General features: G+C 41.8%; 1 protein-coding gene across 48 annotated transcripts in view, besides 1 other annotated feature; it reads right to left on the bottom strand.

Moving 5' to 3' along the window:
- The window catches only part of PPFIBP1 (PPFIB scaffold protein 1), a 171,359-nt gene that overhangs the window by 140,520 nt on the left and 15,961 nt on the right, over positions 1–14,878 (bottom strand). The window lies entirely within an intron of this gene.
- Positions 5,037–6,236: an enhancer, noted in NCBI's record as "CDK7 strongly-dependent group 2 enhancer chr12:27701742-27702941 (GRCh37/hg19 assembly coordinates)". NCBI's record gives its function as "activates an origin of replication core promoter dependent on BRD2, BRD4, P300/CBP, MED14 and CDK7 cofactors, with strong dependence on CDK7, by STARR-seq in HCT116 cells {active_cell/tissue: HCT116}" and the evidence as "EXISTENCE:reporter gene assay evidence [ECO:0000049][PMID:35650434]".

The following is a 14,878-nucleotide window of genomic DNA, read 5'->3' as shown; positions in this document are numbered from 1 at the left end:
CCCACCCCAGCCTCTGTTGCCATTTGAGGTCCGTCCTCAGGGATCAAAAAATACAAGCCTATTCCTTCTTCTGCTTGGCAAGCAGGCAAATGTTTTATAATAGCAGCCCTGTCTCCCTTAACTTCCTAGGACATCACAGCCCCAGTTCTTCAAACCACTCCGAAGGGGACACAATTTCCAGACCTCTGGTGTCAGCACGATCTCCACACCCCAACACTGGGAACATTCCAATTTGGCAACATTCCTCTTAAAGTGTATGGAGTCAAGCACAAGACTCCAGATGTAGGATCTCCGACAACGTGCACAAAGGAACCATTATCTCCAGAAACTGGACACTAACTTGCATTAAATTTGCTAAACACGGTTAGATGAACTTTCCATTCACAGCAATATCACAGATTTGGCTTCTGCTGAACTACAAACCTCCAGGGAGTTTTTACCAAACCAAGTCATGTCAGTTTTCAGTTGATTTTTTTTCAAGTATATTCACAGCGTGACATACAGCTTTGTTATTTAAAGCATTATCAACTTCACTTTACCATTGTCATCGTTTGTACGGATTATTTTCTGGATTCTGACTGTCATCAGCTGTCTCTCCCAGCCTGGTTTCAACCGCAACTCCCAATCACTGATAAAAATACTGAATAAGAACCCTGTAGTGAGCACTTCTAAATTCCAAATCATTTCCTCCTAGTGTATATCTTTTTACCAAAGAAACACAAATTTTCAGAAAGCAATTGTTTTAAATGGAGGGAACAGCTTCACTAGGCTGAGAAATCTGGCGGATGGCAACATTTAAGTTAGGAATAATTGGGATGTTGGGATGAGTGTAACTGCTACAGTTTTCTTGATTACACCAGGCTGTGCATTATCCCCAGGGCTTAACAGGAATCTTAACGGGATTGTGAGCTAATGTCTAGAAGTTGCCAGTTTTAAGCCATTTACCGTAATATACATCTAAGCACTCAGTGTTAACCAGATGGGTGCTGTCAAGCAGCCCTTGGTATCAAATTAAACTTAGATGAAACACTGGCATTCCAAAAGATGCCTTTTTCTGCCCTGCTCAATTCTGTGAGACAGCAGGTTTACCCAAGGCACTTAGCAAGAGTTGCTTATAAACTGCTTCTTTAATCAGTTTTTTAAGTAACACGTATAATTCAGAAAGCATCTATTTACTCAATTGGAAGATAAAGAGGAGGGAAGAAAAGTAGGAATACTTAAGGAACCATTTGATCGTTGGCTGCAGCCAGCTTAACTCCATCTGCCTGTTCTAATAGAGGATCACCCAAAAATGTTCTAAGTATGAAGAATTACAAGAGCATTGAATTAGGGCCACATGAATGGTATGAATGGTGCCCCCTGCAGTTGTGAATGCTGAGTCCCCGAATATCGATGAGCTTCCTTGGGGGTCTTTTCCTTATCACTGGAGATAAACTTTGTAGACAAGAATTGCTTCCTATTTAATTCATAGGTCATCATTCATAAGAAACCAATTACTCCTACAGGGTCAGCCACATAACTTCAAAGCTATTGAAGGAGAACTCATCCAGCACCAGGGACTTTCCCAACACATGTCATGGTGTGTATCAGTCCCATCCACAGAGAAAGCTTCACTGGGCACTCTTGGCTCCTGCGGGGCAGGGGCAACCTATCGGTAAGACAGAAAGGGCTGCAGAAGAACCAACACAGCAGAGCACAAAACAGCATTCATCCAGAGTGTGGGTGAGCACCATCCCCGGCCCAGCTGGACTGAGTGGTGACAGTGGTGGCATTGTTGAGGGCCTGGGGAGAGATCAGACTTGTAGTTTCACTCTCTTCATGTCATCGTAAGCTTGAGTTCGTCTTTATTTTCAGTCACCCTCTATCCCCAGCCTGGGCAGTATATGGGGTCATCTGGCAATGAGTTAAGTTCAGTTATCAAATGAGTTATGTAGCAAAGATTCTTTTTCTGGCCAAACTTTAGTCAGGCTCATAAATCTTCTCCTAGGCCTCTGCGTGCACTTCCTTGTAAAATCCAAGTTTAGCAAAGAACCCTGCTAAGTCAGTTTAGCAAGAACCTCCCACTCTCGGTATCTGATCAGTCTCCTCATCCTCCACCATCCCCCAGGTGTCCGATCACCCTGGCCTATCTTCAGCAAGAATCCTGTTAGGTTAATTTAGCCAGAATCCCCCTTACCCCAACATTCCTCTTAGTATTTTTCCATCCACTGACTCCCACCCTGCTCCTTGGCTATAAATGCCCACTTGTCCATGCAATATTCAGAATCGAACGCAATCTCTCTCCCCCACTGCAAAGCCCTGTAGCAATGATCCTTTGTTCCATGCTTTAACAAGTATCATTGAATAATGTTTTCTTTAACTTAAGTTCAGAGTTATCAAATGAGTTATGTTCCGAGTTGTCAGATGGTCTTGAACCAGAGAAAAAGAGAAGAGCTTTTTCTCCCTGAGAAACATCGATTTGGAATCACAACTAGAATTCCACCTCTGGTACATAACAGTGAGTACAATTTTTCTCTCCCATCCTCAGCCCTGCCTTCTCCTTAGTCCCACCCTCAAAGTTCCATTGCAGCAGAACCTCTCTCAAACTAACCAAAACAGTTGCCTTTTGATCCAGTGTCAGCGTTCCTGACTGCAGTTCAAGACAACTTGGCTGGCCGGTGGCTCTGGAGTCGACTGTCTGGGATTACTGCAGCCAAAAGGTTTCTTGACCCCTAACCTGATAGCGGTTCAATTCTCTTCATTAACAATAAATTTCTCTATTCCAAAGACATGCAGGAGAAATGCCCGCAATACATTCTCTTTGACATGCAATCAGTGGACAATCAGAATTTAAAATATAACACCCATTTCAATTCATTGACAACAGAACTCGGAGATAAACAAATTCAACATTTACTGTTAGGCAGGCACCCTGATGAATTAGTCAGAACAAACGCTGTGTGAGAATTCATTAGAAATGTTTGAGTCAAACAAATTTTAGAGCTCAAGAAATCTGGGAATATCTAACCCATCCCCCTTGTTTTAAAGATGAGGAAACTAGGGGTCAGATGTTCTTGAAGGGGCAGACACGGACCTGGAACGCAGTCTGCTACTCAGCAATTATGATTTGATGTTCTGAAGGCTCTTTCGGTGTCTTCTAATATGGGTCTCCTTATGAACCACAGTCTGTCAAAATTTATTTTTAATGACAGGATATCTATCCATTTGTAAACATACTGTTTTATTTCAAGATGCCAGCTTGACACACAATCTTCACATCCTTTAGCAATATGTTAACTCAAAATAAAAATCATTAATTCTGTAAAAAGAATTAAGACGAACATGAAAAGCCAAGTGATTGAGTTGTTACAGAGACTTTGGCTGGCCAGTGTGTGAGCTCTCTTGGCACCGGAGACTACACGCCGTAGCCTAAAAGTTGTAGGAAGAATACCCAGCTGTTCATCTCCAGAGACTTACATTACACAATGGAACATCAAATAATTTTTTTTCTATTTTTTTGGATTTCCAAGACCTTTTATGTAGCCATCATTCTGGTTCTCAGCAACTGTCTAATTTACAATGTTCCTTTTAAACCTCCTCTGTTGCTCTTGGGAAGTGGAAAGGATGTAAACTATAAATAAAGCCAGTTCCTACTAGCTAATGCCAGGTTTAGACCTTCGTAGTACTAGTGGAGGTCAGTAACATAGGGCAACCATGATTATTTTTAGCAGCACGGTGGCCTGCGATAGAGAGATGGACACTGCCTTCTCAGTTTAGGTGCCGTCCACTTTGGGAGTGCCTGCAGACCCCCACAAGGCTGGGTTAGGTGCTCCTGGAGCACTGAGCACCTGTCTATCAGATCACACTCTTCTGGAACTCAAACCAGGTCTGTCGTGGTTATAAGTAAACTTGAACTCTTAACTACCATGGTGCAGATTGACTTTTACTACAAGCTATGTGATCTTGGAGAAGATCTCCCAAGGTCACATAACTAATCTTTGTTTCAGTTTTCTCTTTAGAAGATGGGAATAAGAGTACCTATCTCAGTTTTCACGTTTGTTAAAAAAAAAAAAATATATATATATATAAAATTAGTGCCCACCCCCAAACAAAGCACATGAAAGCACTGCCACAGAGTAAGTGAGTGATAAACACCAACCATTATTATTATTATTAATGCCACCCTTTCAAGTCTTACAAATGTTAATTGTCCTCTTATTTGTGTTTGTTTTATGTTCACCAGTTAAGACAGGATTGCAAGCCCTTACATGTGATGAGGGAAAAAACCACAAACTTTGAAATCAGCCAAGTATGGGGTAGAATCGAGGCTCTGTGACTTACCACATTTCGTTAATTTTAAAGGTTAATTTAACATCTCCAATATTGGAATGTGTCTTACAATTCGCGGTGGCACAGAGTCCATGTAGTAAGGTATAATCTCTGTTTGATCTCGGGCAAGTTATTTAATCTCTGTAAAACTGGTAATATTACCTACCTCTCTCTGAGTTGTCATAAAGCACGAATAACATATCCATACAAACCCCTAACACCATTGCATTTTGCACTCCTGTGAGTCCAGTGTCTTGTGTACAGGAGATGGTTAGGAGCTAAATAAAAATTTACATATGACTTAACAAAGCAACCCATTATCCATGTAAATGTTAAAATAGTTCCTGAATCCATTCTAGGTTAACATGTGTGAGTGTGCAGACATCCCAGCTGGAGCAGCTTACAAAAAAAATCAGGGGCTTTAAGTACAGAAACTCCATAGGGACAATGTATGGGCACCCAGAGCCCTTCACGAGGATCTGCAGCTGCTTCAAACACCCCACCCGGAGCCTTGGATTACTGCCCAGCTCCCCCATGGGGCCACTGATAGAGTCCAGCTCCCTGTTGAAGCCGAGCTCGGGTTCAAAGTTTGCCTGAGAGTATAAGAAGGTGCTTTTTACAAATTTAGTTATAACTCTTGGCATATATTAACAACAGTTTTGAGCACTTACTTCATTATGCTCCATTAAACCCTTCACAATAAGCCATTTTTCTGAGGTCCAGCATTTAAGTCACACCCTATCTGCCTGGCTTCAAAGCCTGTGTCCTTAACCACTAGGTCCTGACTCTCCGGGAGGTTACGCAACATCAGCTTACGAAAGAGGCGAAGCTCTCCCACGCTTCAAGGTCTCGCCTTCAAAACAGCCAAATAGCACTCTCCCTGGTGAGGGTGTCAGACCCTCCTACACCAGGTGAATGGGGGCCAAAGAAGGGGAGAGGGCGGGGCAGTTGTGTGTGCATAAGTGAGTGGTTCAGTAGCTTTCCAAGCCCCGCTGGAACTGCCACTTTCCTAGGACCCCAGCTGGTCCTAACCGGCAATGTTTTTTATTTTATCTTTTCCCATTTCTCTGTTCTTGATTTATTTCCCATATCTCCAGGCAACACCCTGCAGATCACTTCTGGTTCTTCCTTTTCTTGATAGACTTCCTTCATTCTTCTTTTTTTTTTTTTTTTAATTCTGGTTCTTCAAAAGTTTCTTTCCCAACAACAATTATTTCTCTCTGCATAGTACACACTTCCTGGCCAACAAATTCTTCTTTATTCATTCTTTGCAGACGTGAGTCACAATGAAAAGTCATAGTTGGAGATTCCTCATCCGGACTGTAGAAAAGGTCATGTCCCTAACTCCAGAATGCCAATGATAAAGGCACACGTACAGGCATGTTAGAAAGATGGAGAAGTCAGAGGAAGATGTGCACAAAGTTAAATCGCTCTGCCCTTTCTACTATCAGATCATCACCAAACACTCGTGGGATCACACTGAGAAGGATCATCCAAGTCAAGAGCTGCAGAAGAAATGGTGCACATATTCAAGAGTCTCACCTTTAGCCTTTCCTCTACAGCAGAATCACTATGCTACATTAATTTCCTTCTCATCTGATGACTTCTTGAGAGCTTTTTAGTTTCTGCATCTCCTATTTCTAGCCAATGCAATAAACCAGCTGGCAGATTATCCCCTTCACATCCAATGACCAAATCATCACATCTCTCCAAGAGGTTCAGAGGTGGGTGTTTTTATACAGAACCTGTCACCATGGCAGCTTGACTCTCTTCAGTTTCTGAATTAGGAACAGTGACCTACTTATATTTCTACTACACCCATAATGGAAACAGGTTAGTAATATCTTCCAGGACTTGACATTACGGAGCTTCCAGGTGGCAATGCAGATAAAGGCAAAGAATACACAGAGTCCAGGGGGCTCACTGGGAAGCGAAGTCCATGGTCTGAACACACACCCCCGATCACCTTTGCTCTATGCCACGACGAAGTCATCAGGCTTCCCCACCTCCAGTCCCCAAAATACACTCAAACTACTCAGATGATGGAGGAGCACAACCCATTGCCTCCTTCACTTACTAGAAGGCAGAAAATGCAGAAGAAAAACCATGTTGCCTTTTACAGATATGACTTAATCTGCAGTTGGGAAAGAGATTAGGTATAACTTTGGCTTTGTCTACTCATCCCACTTATACAACAAACCATGCCAGTTTTAGACATTTGTTCAGTGCAACTGGCTTTCGGAAATGCCAGAAAATTGATTCTTCCCTACCCCCGCCAAAGCATATTGACTTATCCTTTGGCAATTTAACTCCTAAATCATTATCCTCGACTATGACTAAAATATCACATAAGGTGATTCAGGAACCAAAGCTATAACCTCCTATATTTGCCTTCCATCCCCAGGGCCCCCTGGAAGGTTCTAAGTCTGAGTTTGTGTGCCTCACTCACTTGCTTGCCTTTTGTTACGGCGACCCATTCAACTGCATTTATATACACATAGGATGAATATTCTGAACGTGCAGTAATTCATGCTTGGGGAAAATTATTCAATTATGGGTCAGTCATTTCACAAATATAGAGGCTAAGCCCTGTTACACCGTAATCAGGTGTACATATTATCCAAGGATCTCATAAACTTCCAAGAGGCTGGAGATCTGTTTATTTAATAGTTCACAAAGCAGTTATAATCTCTTCCCTCAGTTTTGCTAAGGGATCCAGACTTTCTAACTTTCCATATAAAGGGACTTGCCATATGCCGGGCATTTGGCGCTACCCACTTGTTTCTTTCTCAAAGGGTTAGATTCTTTGGGACAGTATAGTAGACACTATATTGCTCCACCCAGACGTCCTTTTTAGGGCCAATACACCCATCCCCAGCTGCTGATGGTTCACAAGGAAGGTCCTCAGCCAGCTGCAGGACACAGCCTCACCCAAAGTGATACCCCCAGAAGGGGTGGCCAGTTGCCAGGAATTAGCTGATGTAGGCAAACAAAAGTCCAGCCCCTTGCTCAAATGGGGACAGCTCTGAAGAACCATCCAGCGCTCCCCATAGAAGTGGCTGGGGTCTCAGACGCAACCACATTTGCCAGTCAGCTTCTCCTCTGCCCAATCTTGCCTTGTTCCTTCCTTACAGGTGTCTCCTGAGAGCTCACCCCCAAAATCCTTCAGCACCCCACTCCTGGTCTCAGAGTCTGCTTCTAGGGAACCTAATTTAAGACCAGCAGCAGTTTTCTAAGATAACTAATGCAGAGCATTATTTTTCTAATTGTACGAGGAAGTCACAGGCTCCTTCAGAGGCCCTACAAAGGCTGATAACCGTCTTTGAAAAATACTCGTCATACAGCCACTCAGTTTAAAAACTACACATTTTTGATATTCAGCTCAGATCACTTTCTGAACACCAACCCAGTCAACAGGGACAGGAGTTAATGCACAGGAATACAGCAAGTTCACAAGTAAAGGCGGCGAGACCTAGCAAAGGTAGTGATTTGCTTGTCCCAACATCATGTGGCATTGAAAACTGCCACCAGAGCAAAGGAGGCCACATCTGGGGTTCCCAACCTTAACCATCAGAGTATGGCTGCCCACAAAAGACATATTTACTTTATAACCTCAAATCCTAGCAAATCTTCATTCTAAAGCTACCCGGCAAGAACAGTTCCACCTAAGTATGAAACTGAGTCCTGAACACTTTATTCATAACATTCCAAACTGGTTATTTGTTTTTGTTTTTTGAGGCAGGGTCTCACTCTGTCTCCCAGGCTGGAGTACAGTGGTGCAATCGTGGCTCACTGTAGCCTCAACCTCCTGAGCCCAAGTGATCTTCCCACCTCATCCTCCCTGGTAGCTGGGACAACCATGCCTGGCCAGTTTTTTGCATTTTTTGTAGAGATGGGGTTTCACCATGTTGCCCAGGCTGGTCTCGAACTCCTGGGCTCAAGTGATCCACCCACCTCAGTCTCCCCAAAATGCTGGGATTACAGGCATGAACCACTGCAGCCAGCCAATGTTCCAAACTTTTAAGAACAGGGAACAATTCCTGTGTAACTGATAGATGAATGATGACTTTGTAGAATTTACTGCATTCCCAAGAAAGGGGATTGCAGACAGGCCAATGCAGGAATCAGGAGCTCCTGCTATTGTCTTGCCCAGGAGACAGCACTATCTTCCAAAAAACTTCAAGGGAACTACCTGGCATCCAAACAGGCTCCAGTCTAGTTTAGGGTACAGGGATGGAATTAGAGTCACAGGCCTGGAAGTCAGTGGAAAAGCAGGTGCTTTTACCAGAGGTTTGGGTGAGGATGTCTAAAATGTAGCTAATGTACTCCATATAAAAACTCAAAAATCACACTATTATTTAATTTTTTACAGCATTTTACATGTGATCTCATTTGATCCTTAAAGCCCTCCCAGTGAGGGCTGGGCTGGTATCGTTCTAACAATTTTATAACTGCTTAAGTGACTTGCCCAATATCACACAGCTAATCAATGTAGGGATCAGAGTGCCAGATTCTTAGTTGAGGCTTCTTTCCCACAACAATCTGCCAATTCGCAACTTATCTACATGTTTCTCCAGGCATGTGTACCAAGCCCCCAAAACTTGGCTCCCTCCTCCCTTTGTGACTCCCACCTTCATACCACAGATTAATATTTCACAGGAACAAGAACTATCAATGGCACAAGGTCCTGGACAGGGCCGCAGATCACCGTCAAAGGTTGCTCTCTCTTCTTTCTCAATGACTCTACAATCCAGACCCTCCATTAATGGAGACTATAGCTTCTGAAGTACAGCTGACAAGAGGCTGAGGGGATCAAGTTATACGACTACCGTGTCCAACATCTCTGACTAATCTGGTTCACCTCAGTCGCATACACTGAGAGGCGGCCGGTTGGGGGAGAAGAGAAAGCTTTAAACAGCACACCAATTTCTTAGACACACTAACCGTTCCTAGGAAAGCCTTCTGTCCCTAGTCCACGGGTTTTGCCTACTGTTATTTGAGGCACTTGGAGGATTTTACTCTTGCCAAGTTGGCATTTGTTTCTGCAGTGCAAAAATGTCTGGACTGAAGAGATCACATGGAGATTTCTATGCTTCAGGAACACAGGCAAGCATCTCTCTGCCTCAGGTAGATGCATTATAGCTCGTGGGAGTGCTAATGAGCACTAATTACTCTATTTACTCCCTGAGCCAACCAGCCAGCAACAAGAAATCCCTGGTGAAACTTGCTGGGTTCTCATATGTACTATCCTGGCTCTGTTTCAAAGGGCTGGTGACAAAGTGATTTGAAGGGATCAGCATGAGGCTACCCAACTGGATTGTTATCTCAGGATCACTAGGCTTATTTTTTTTCTTATTATACTTAAGTTCTGGGATACACGTGCAGAACGTGCAGGATTGTTACATAGGCATACATGTGCCATGGTGATTTGCTGCACCCATCAACCCGTCATCTACATTAGGTATTTCTCCTAATGCTATCCCTCCCTTTGCCCCCCACCCCTCCAACAGGCCCCAATGTGTGATGTTCCCCTCCCTGTGCCCATATGTTCTCATTGTTCAACTTCCACTTATGAGTGAGAACATGTGGTGTTTGGTTTTCTGTTCCTGTGTTAGTTTGCTGAGAATGATGGTTTCCAGCTTCATCCATGTCCCTGAAAGGACATGAACTCATTCTTTTTTATGGCTGCATAGTATTCCATGTTGTGTATGTGCCACATTTTCTTTATCTAGTCTATCATTGATGGGCATTTGGGTTGGTTCCAAGTCTTTGCTATTGTGAATAGTGCTGCAATAAACACACGTGTGCATGTATCTTTATAGTAAAATTACTTATAATCCTTTGGGTATATACCCAGTAATGGGATTGCTGGGTCAAATGGTATTTCTAGTTCTAGATCCTTGAGGAATCGCCACACTGTCTTCCACAATGGTTGAACTAATTTACACTCCCACCAACAGCGTTCCTATTTCTCTACATCCTCTCCAGCATCTGTTGTTTCCAGACTATTTAATGATTGCCATTCTAACGGGCGTGAGATGGTATCTCATTGTGGTTTTCATTTGCATTTCTCTAATGATCAGTGATGATGAGCTTTTTTTCATATGTTTGTTGACCACATAAATGTCTTCTTTTGATTAGTGTCTGTTCACATCCTTTGCGCACTTTTTGATGGGGTTGTTTGTTTTTTTCTTGTAAATTTGTTGAAGTTCTTTGTAGATTCTAGATATTAGTCCTTTGTCAGATGGATAGATTGCAAAACTTTTCTCCCATTCTGTAGGCTGCCTGTTCACTCCGACGACAGTTTATTTTGCTGTACGGAAGATCTTTAGTTTAATTAGATCCCATTTGTCAATTTTGGCTTTTGTTGCCATTGCTTTTGGTGTTTTAGTCATGAAGTCTTTGCCCATCACTAGGCATATTTTTTAGTCCTTTGTATCCTGTCAGTTAATAGTCAAGTCAGTACCAAGTTTGTTTGTCCATTCTCTCCTAACCATTATCACCACAAACACCTCTGCCTCCAAATGTCCACTTTGGCTGCAAATTTAAAAATCAGGGGGGACATGATGGCTCATGCCTATAATTTCAGCACTTTGGGAGGCTGAGACAGAAGGATCACTTGAGCCCAGGAGTTTGAGACCAGCCTGGATAATACAGCCAGACCTTATGTCTAATTAAAAAATCAAAAAATTAGTTGGGCATGGTGGTGTGCATCTGTAATCCCAGCTACTTGAGAGGCTTAGGTGGGAGGATAGCTTGAGCCTGGAGGTTGAGGCTGCAGTGAGCTATGATCACGACACTGCACTCCAGCCTGGACAACAGAGTGAGACCTTGTCTTAAAAAAAAAAAAAAAAAAGCAGGGGCGGGGTGGGGGGCTGGGAAAAAAAGACAAGCAACAGGCTTGAAATTTTAGGAAAAGAATTTCCTACTGACTATTACAATTGGGTGAGGCATTTCACAACGTCCTGCACTCAGCTTGCAAACGTTATAAGATTTAGCCAACGGTATGCTCAATTTGATCCTTGAACTCTAAACATGACAGGAAACTTAGAAATCATGTAAATTTCACATAATCACTGACCTTAACTGTATCTATGTTTTAGGTGAAGCATATACATGGCGTGAATTATATTAAAACTCTAATTTATAAACTTGTATAAATCATATAAAAAAGACTTTCTCCTCATTGTCTCTCCCTTCCTACCAAAAGGTGGAAAAAATGAAAAAACCATAGGGCAACGGATCTAAAGTTCCCAGAACAGATGTAAGAATGTTAACCCTTAACCCAATAAAGCCCCACTTACATTAGCATAACTTCATATTCTAATACTAAGTTGATTTCTTATTGAAAATGCAACCATGGTAGCAGGGATAAAAAAATAAGAAGGTCCAGGACACATTTAAAGAGGATTCCCAAAGGGTATTTTTAACTCCATAGAAAAAAGACTGCATTGGATTATAATTCTAAATTAAAGTATTTATAGTAGTTACTTGGCTCAATTTATTAAAATGAAAAAGCCTAAATAAACACACATTATACATTCAATGGCAAGACAACCTCATGTTGAAATTCTTCAGGCAAAAATGATTTAATTTCAGGGAGTTTTTTTTATGTGGTTGAACAAGGTCTGGCGTAAAGACCCATCAAATCTAACCTAACTTTTAGATGGGATGAAAAATAAAAATTTACTTAGCAACTTGCCTCCCCTGGGTTATGTAACAGATTTGTCTTTTCTCATGAGTTTCTACAATCTTCTTTTTTAATGTTGCTCTGGTACCTGAATGTTTATGAAGCCTAGGCAAGTAACAACTCCATGAATGATGCCAAAAATCTCAACTATGTGTAAGAGAAGGGTTATTGCCCTTCAAGAGAGCCGTCTGTGCTTTTTACATGAACACGTAGACAAAACATGTTTTGCCTACGAGCACAATCCTAAGCTGAGGAGTCATCACGCAATTCTCTAAGCATAAGGATTTGAGAGATGCAGATGACTTATCCACAACAGAAAAGAAAGTCTACTCAACAGAAAAATAAATAGATCAGATAAAGAAGTGTTTCTAGCATCTAAATATAGTGATATTCACTAGAATTTCCCGTCTGTGCAGATCTACCAGCAATTCTAAAACTTTTAAACAAACAAAAAAAGAACAGCAGCATTTTCAGCTTTGAGATTCAGAAACAATCATTACTGAGCTTCTACAATGAATGAGCACAGTGGTGCTGCACTAGGCATCTTGCATATACTAGGTGGGCGCAAAATTAATTGCTGTTTTGGCATTGCAAGTAATGGCAAAAACCGCAATTACTTTTGCACCAATCTCAACTTAATCTTTTTAATACAGTTGTCCCTCAGTATCCATGGGGAATTGGTTTCCAGGATACCCACACACATACCCAAATCCGCAGATGCTAAAGTTCCTTACATATTCACATATAACCTACACACATCTTCCCATTCTCTCATATACTTTAAATCATCTCTGGATTACTTAAGACCTAATACAACGTAAATGCTATGTAAATAGTTGTTGCATTGTATTTTTTATTTGTATTTTTATTGTTGTATGGTTATTTTGTTTTTTCAAATATTTTCCATCTGCTATTGGTTGAATCCCCAGATGTGGAACCCTCAGATCCAGAGGGTCTACCATATTCCTACAAGGTACACATTGTTATTTCCATTTCACAGATGAGAAAACCAGGGTTCAGGATGGGTAAGTAACAAAGTCACAGTGCCAAGATAGGGCTATGTAGGGATTCCAGTCAAGATATGTCTGACTCCAAAACCTAAAACAGTTGGTGCCACCCTCTGCCTAATAGTACCACCAAGAAACTACGACCAGAAAACACAATGATGGAATTCTTTCTGAAGTAGAGCAGGTCAGCCCTGGAGTCGGAAGCTCTGGATTTTAATGATGCATCTATTGAGTGGTGGTTTCCTCCAAATTAATGGAGATGGAAACAGTATTTAAGCTCATAAGGTTGAGGTGAGAAGCATCTATAAAAGCCCTAGTGAAAGGGTTTTGCAAAACAGCTAAGTGCCAGGTAAGTGCTAGTTGTTACCTTCGTCTTCAAGCTACAGTTAGTGCAGCTGGTGAGCTGCAATAGGGCTGTGGGCTCCTATGAGTCCTCCCACAGGACTCAACCTGGGTGAGGCTGAGCAACAGCCTGCAGCCTCAAAGAGCAAAACTTAAGGGGTGAGAACTGGATGGGATGTGGCCTGAGTCTCTGCTCCGCCTGCCTTCTCACAGACTCAACACATGCCTAACACACCCCTTGCCAGGTGTAGTCACAGCTCGCTCAGCAAGCCGCTGGTTTCAGTCACTCAGATGTTTCAGGAATCTATGGAAGCCCCGCTGCCTTCAGTAAGCTCACTTCTATCAAGGGAAAAGAAATGAAAAAGCCAAACAAACAACCCTCGGCCCAAAAACAGCCTCCCCTTTTCTCACCAACTTTCTCTATTTTTTTTTTTCTCTCTCTCTCACACACACACACACGTGCAAGTTTTCCCATGATACATAGTGGGTGCCCATAAGCACTTCAGGCCCATTTATCCTCATCAGGAAACCCTGTGATACCCTACTTTGGGATATAATTTTAAACACTGATTATTCAGAATAGAGACTTCCAGAGCAGTAAGGGTTCATTTTAGTATAGACAGAGGAAAGTTGGAGAACCGCAAGTGCAAAAGACAATCAATAGATTAGCCTGCATAAATATTTTAAACCTCCATATCACTAACAAAAATAAAAGACAAACCGAATTTAAAAATTAGAAACAGCAGGTGAAAATATTTGCAGCAACTATGATAGAGGATTCATAAGTGAAATACACGAACTAGAGTTTATGACAAATGAGAAAAATACTAATTCCCAATAAATGGGCAGAGAACATGAACAGTTTGTTAAGAAACAGCCAATAGTCATATGAACATGATTTAGCTCAATAATATCAAATACATTAAAAAGAAAAACAAAATTTATTTTCTCCTAGAAAATTATCAAATGCTACTAATATGAGAACATCACTGTGCTAACAGGAGCAAAAATTAGTAGAAGCTTTGGGGCAGCTGACAACAATACTAATCAAAATATCCACACATATCCAATCCTTTTGTTCCACATGTGATCATCTATTGTATAGACAGGAATGATCTGAAATACAGAAAATACTGAATGCACAAATGCTCGTCAAAATTGAAAATAGGCTGGGTGCAATAGCCCATGCCTGTAATCCCAACACTTTGTGAGGCTGAAGATCACTTTTTTTTTTTTTTGTAGAGACAGGGTCACTGGCAAGAATCACTGATGCTGATGAAATTAAGACTTTTGGTGTTTGCCTTTCAAAGGATGATTTTGCAGTCTTTGGGATGGCTTTCTCGGGGTACCAGCTAACTACGCCAAACTCTTTGCATTCATTATCTTGTTTCATCTTTACAACCCTTCAAGGCAGCGTTTCTCAACCTCAGTACTACTGATATTTTGAGACAGAGTCTCTACAAAAAAAAAAAAATTAGCCAGACATGGTGGCACATGCCTATAATCCTACTACATGGGAGGCTGAGGCAGG

The sequence above is a fragment of the Homo sapiens genome, chromosome 12, assembly GCF_000001405.40.
Source record: "Homo sapiens chromosome 12, GRCh38.p14 Primary Assembly".
NCBI lineage: Eukaryota > Metazoa > Chordata > Mammalia > Primates > Hominidae > Homo > Homo sapiens.
This window is presented reverse-complemented; position numbering and strand designations above follow the sequence as displayed.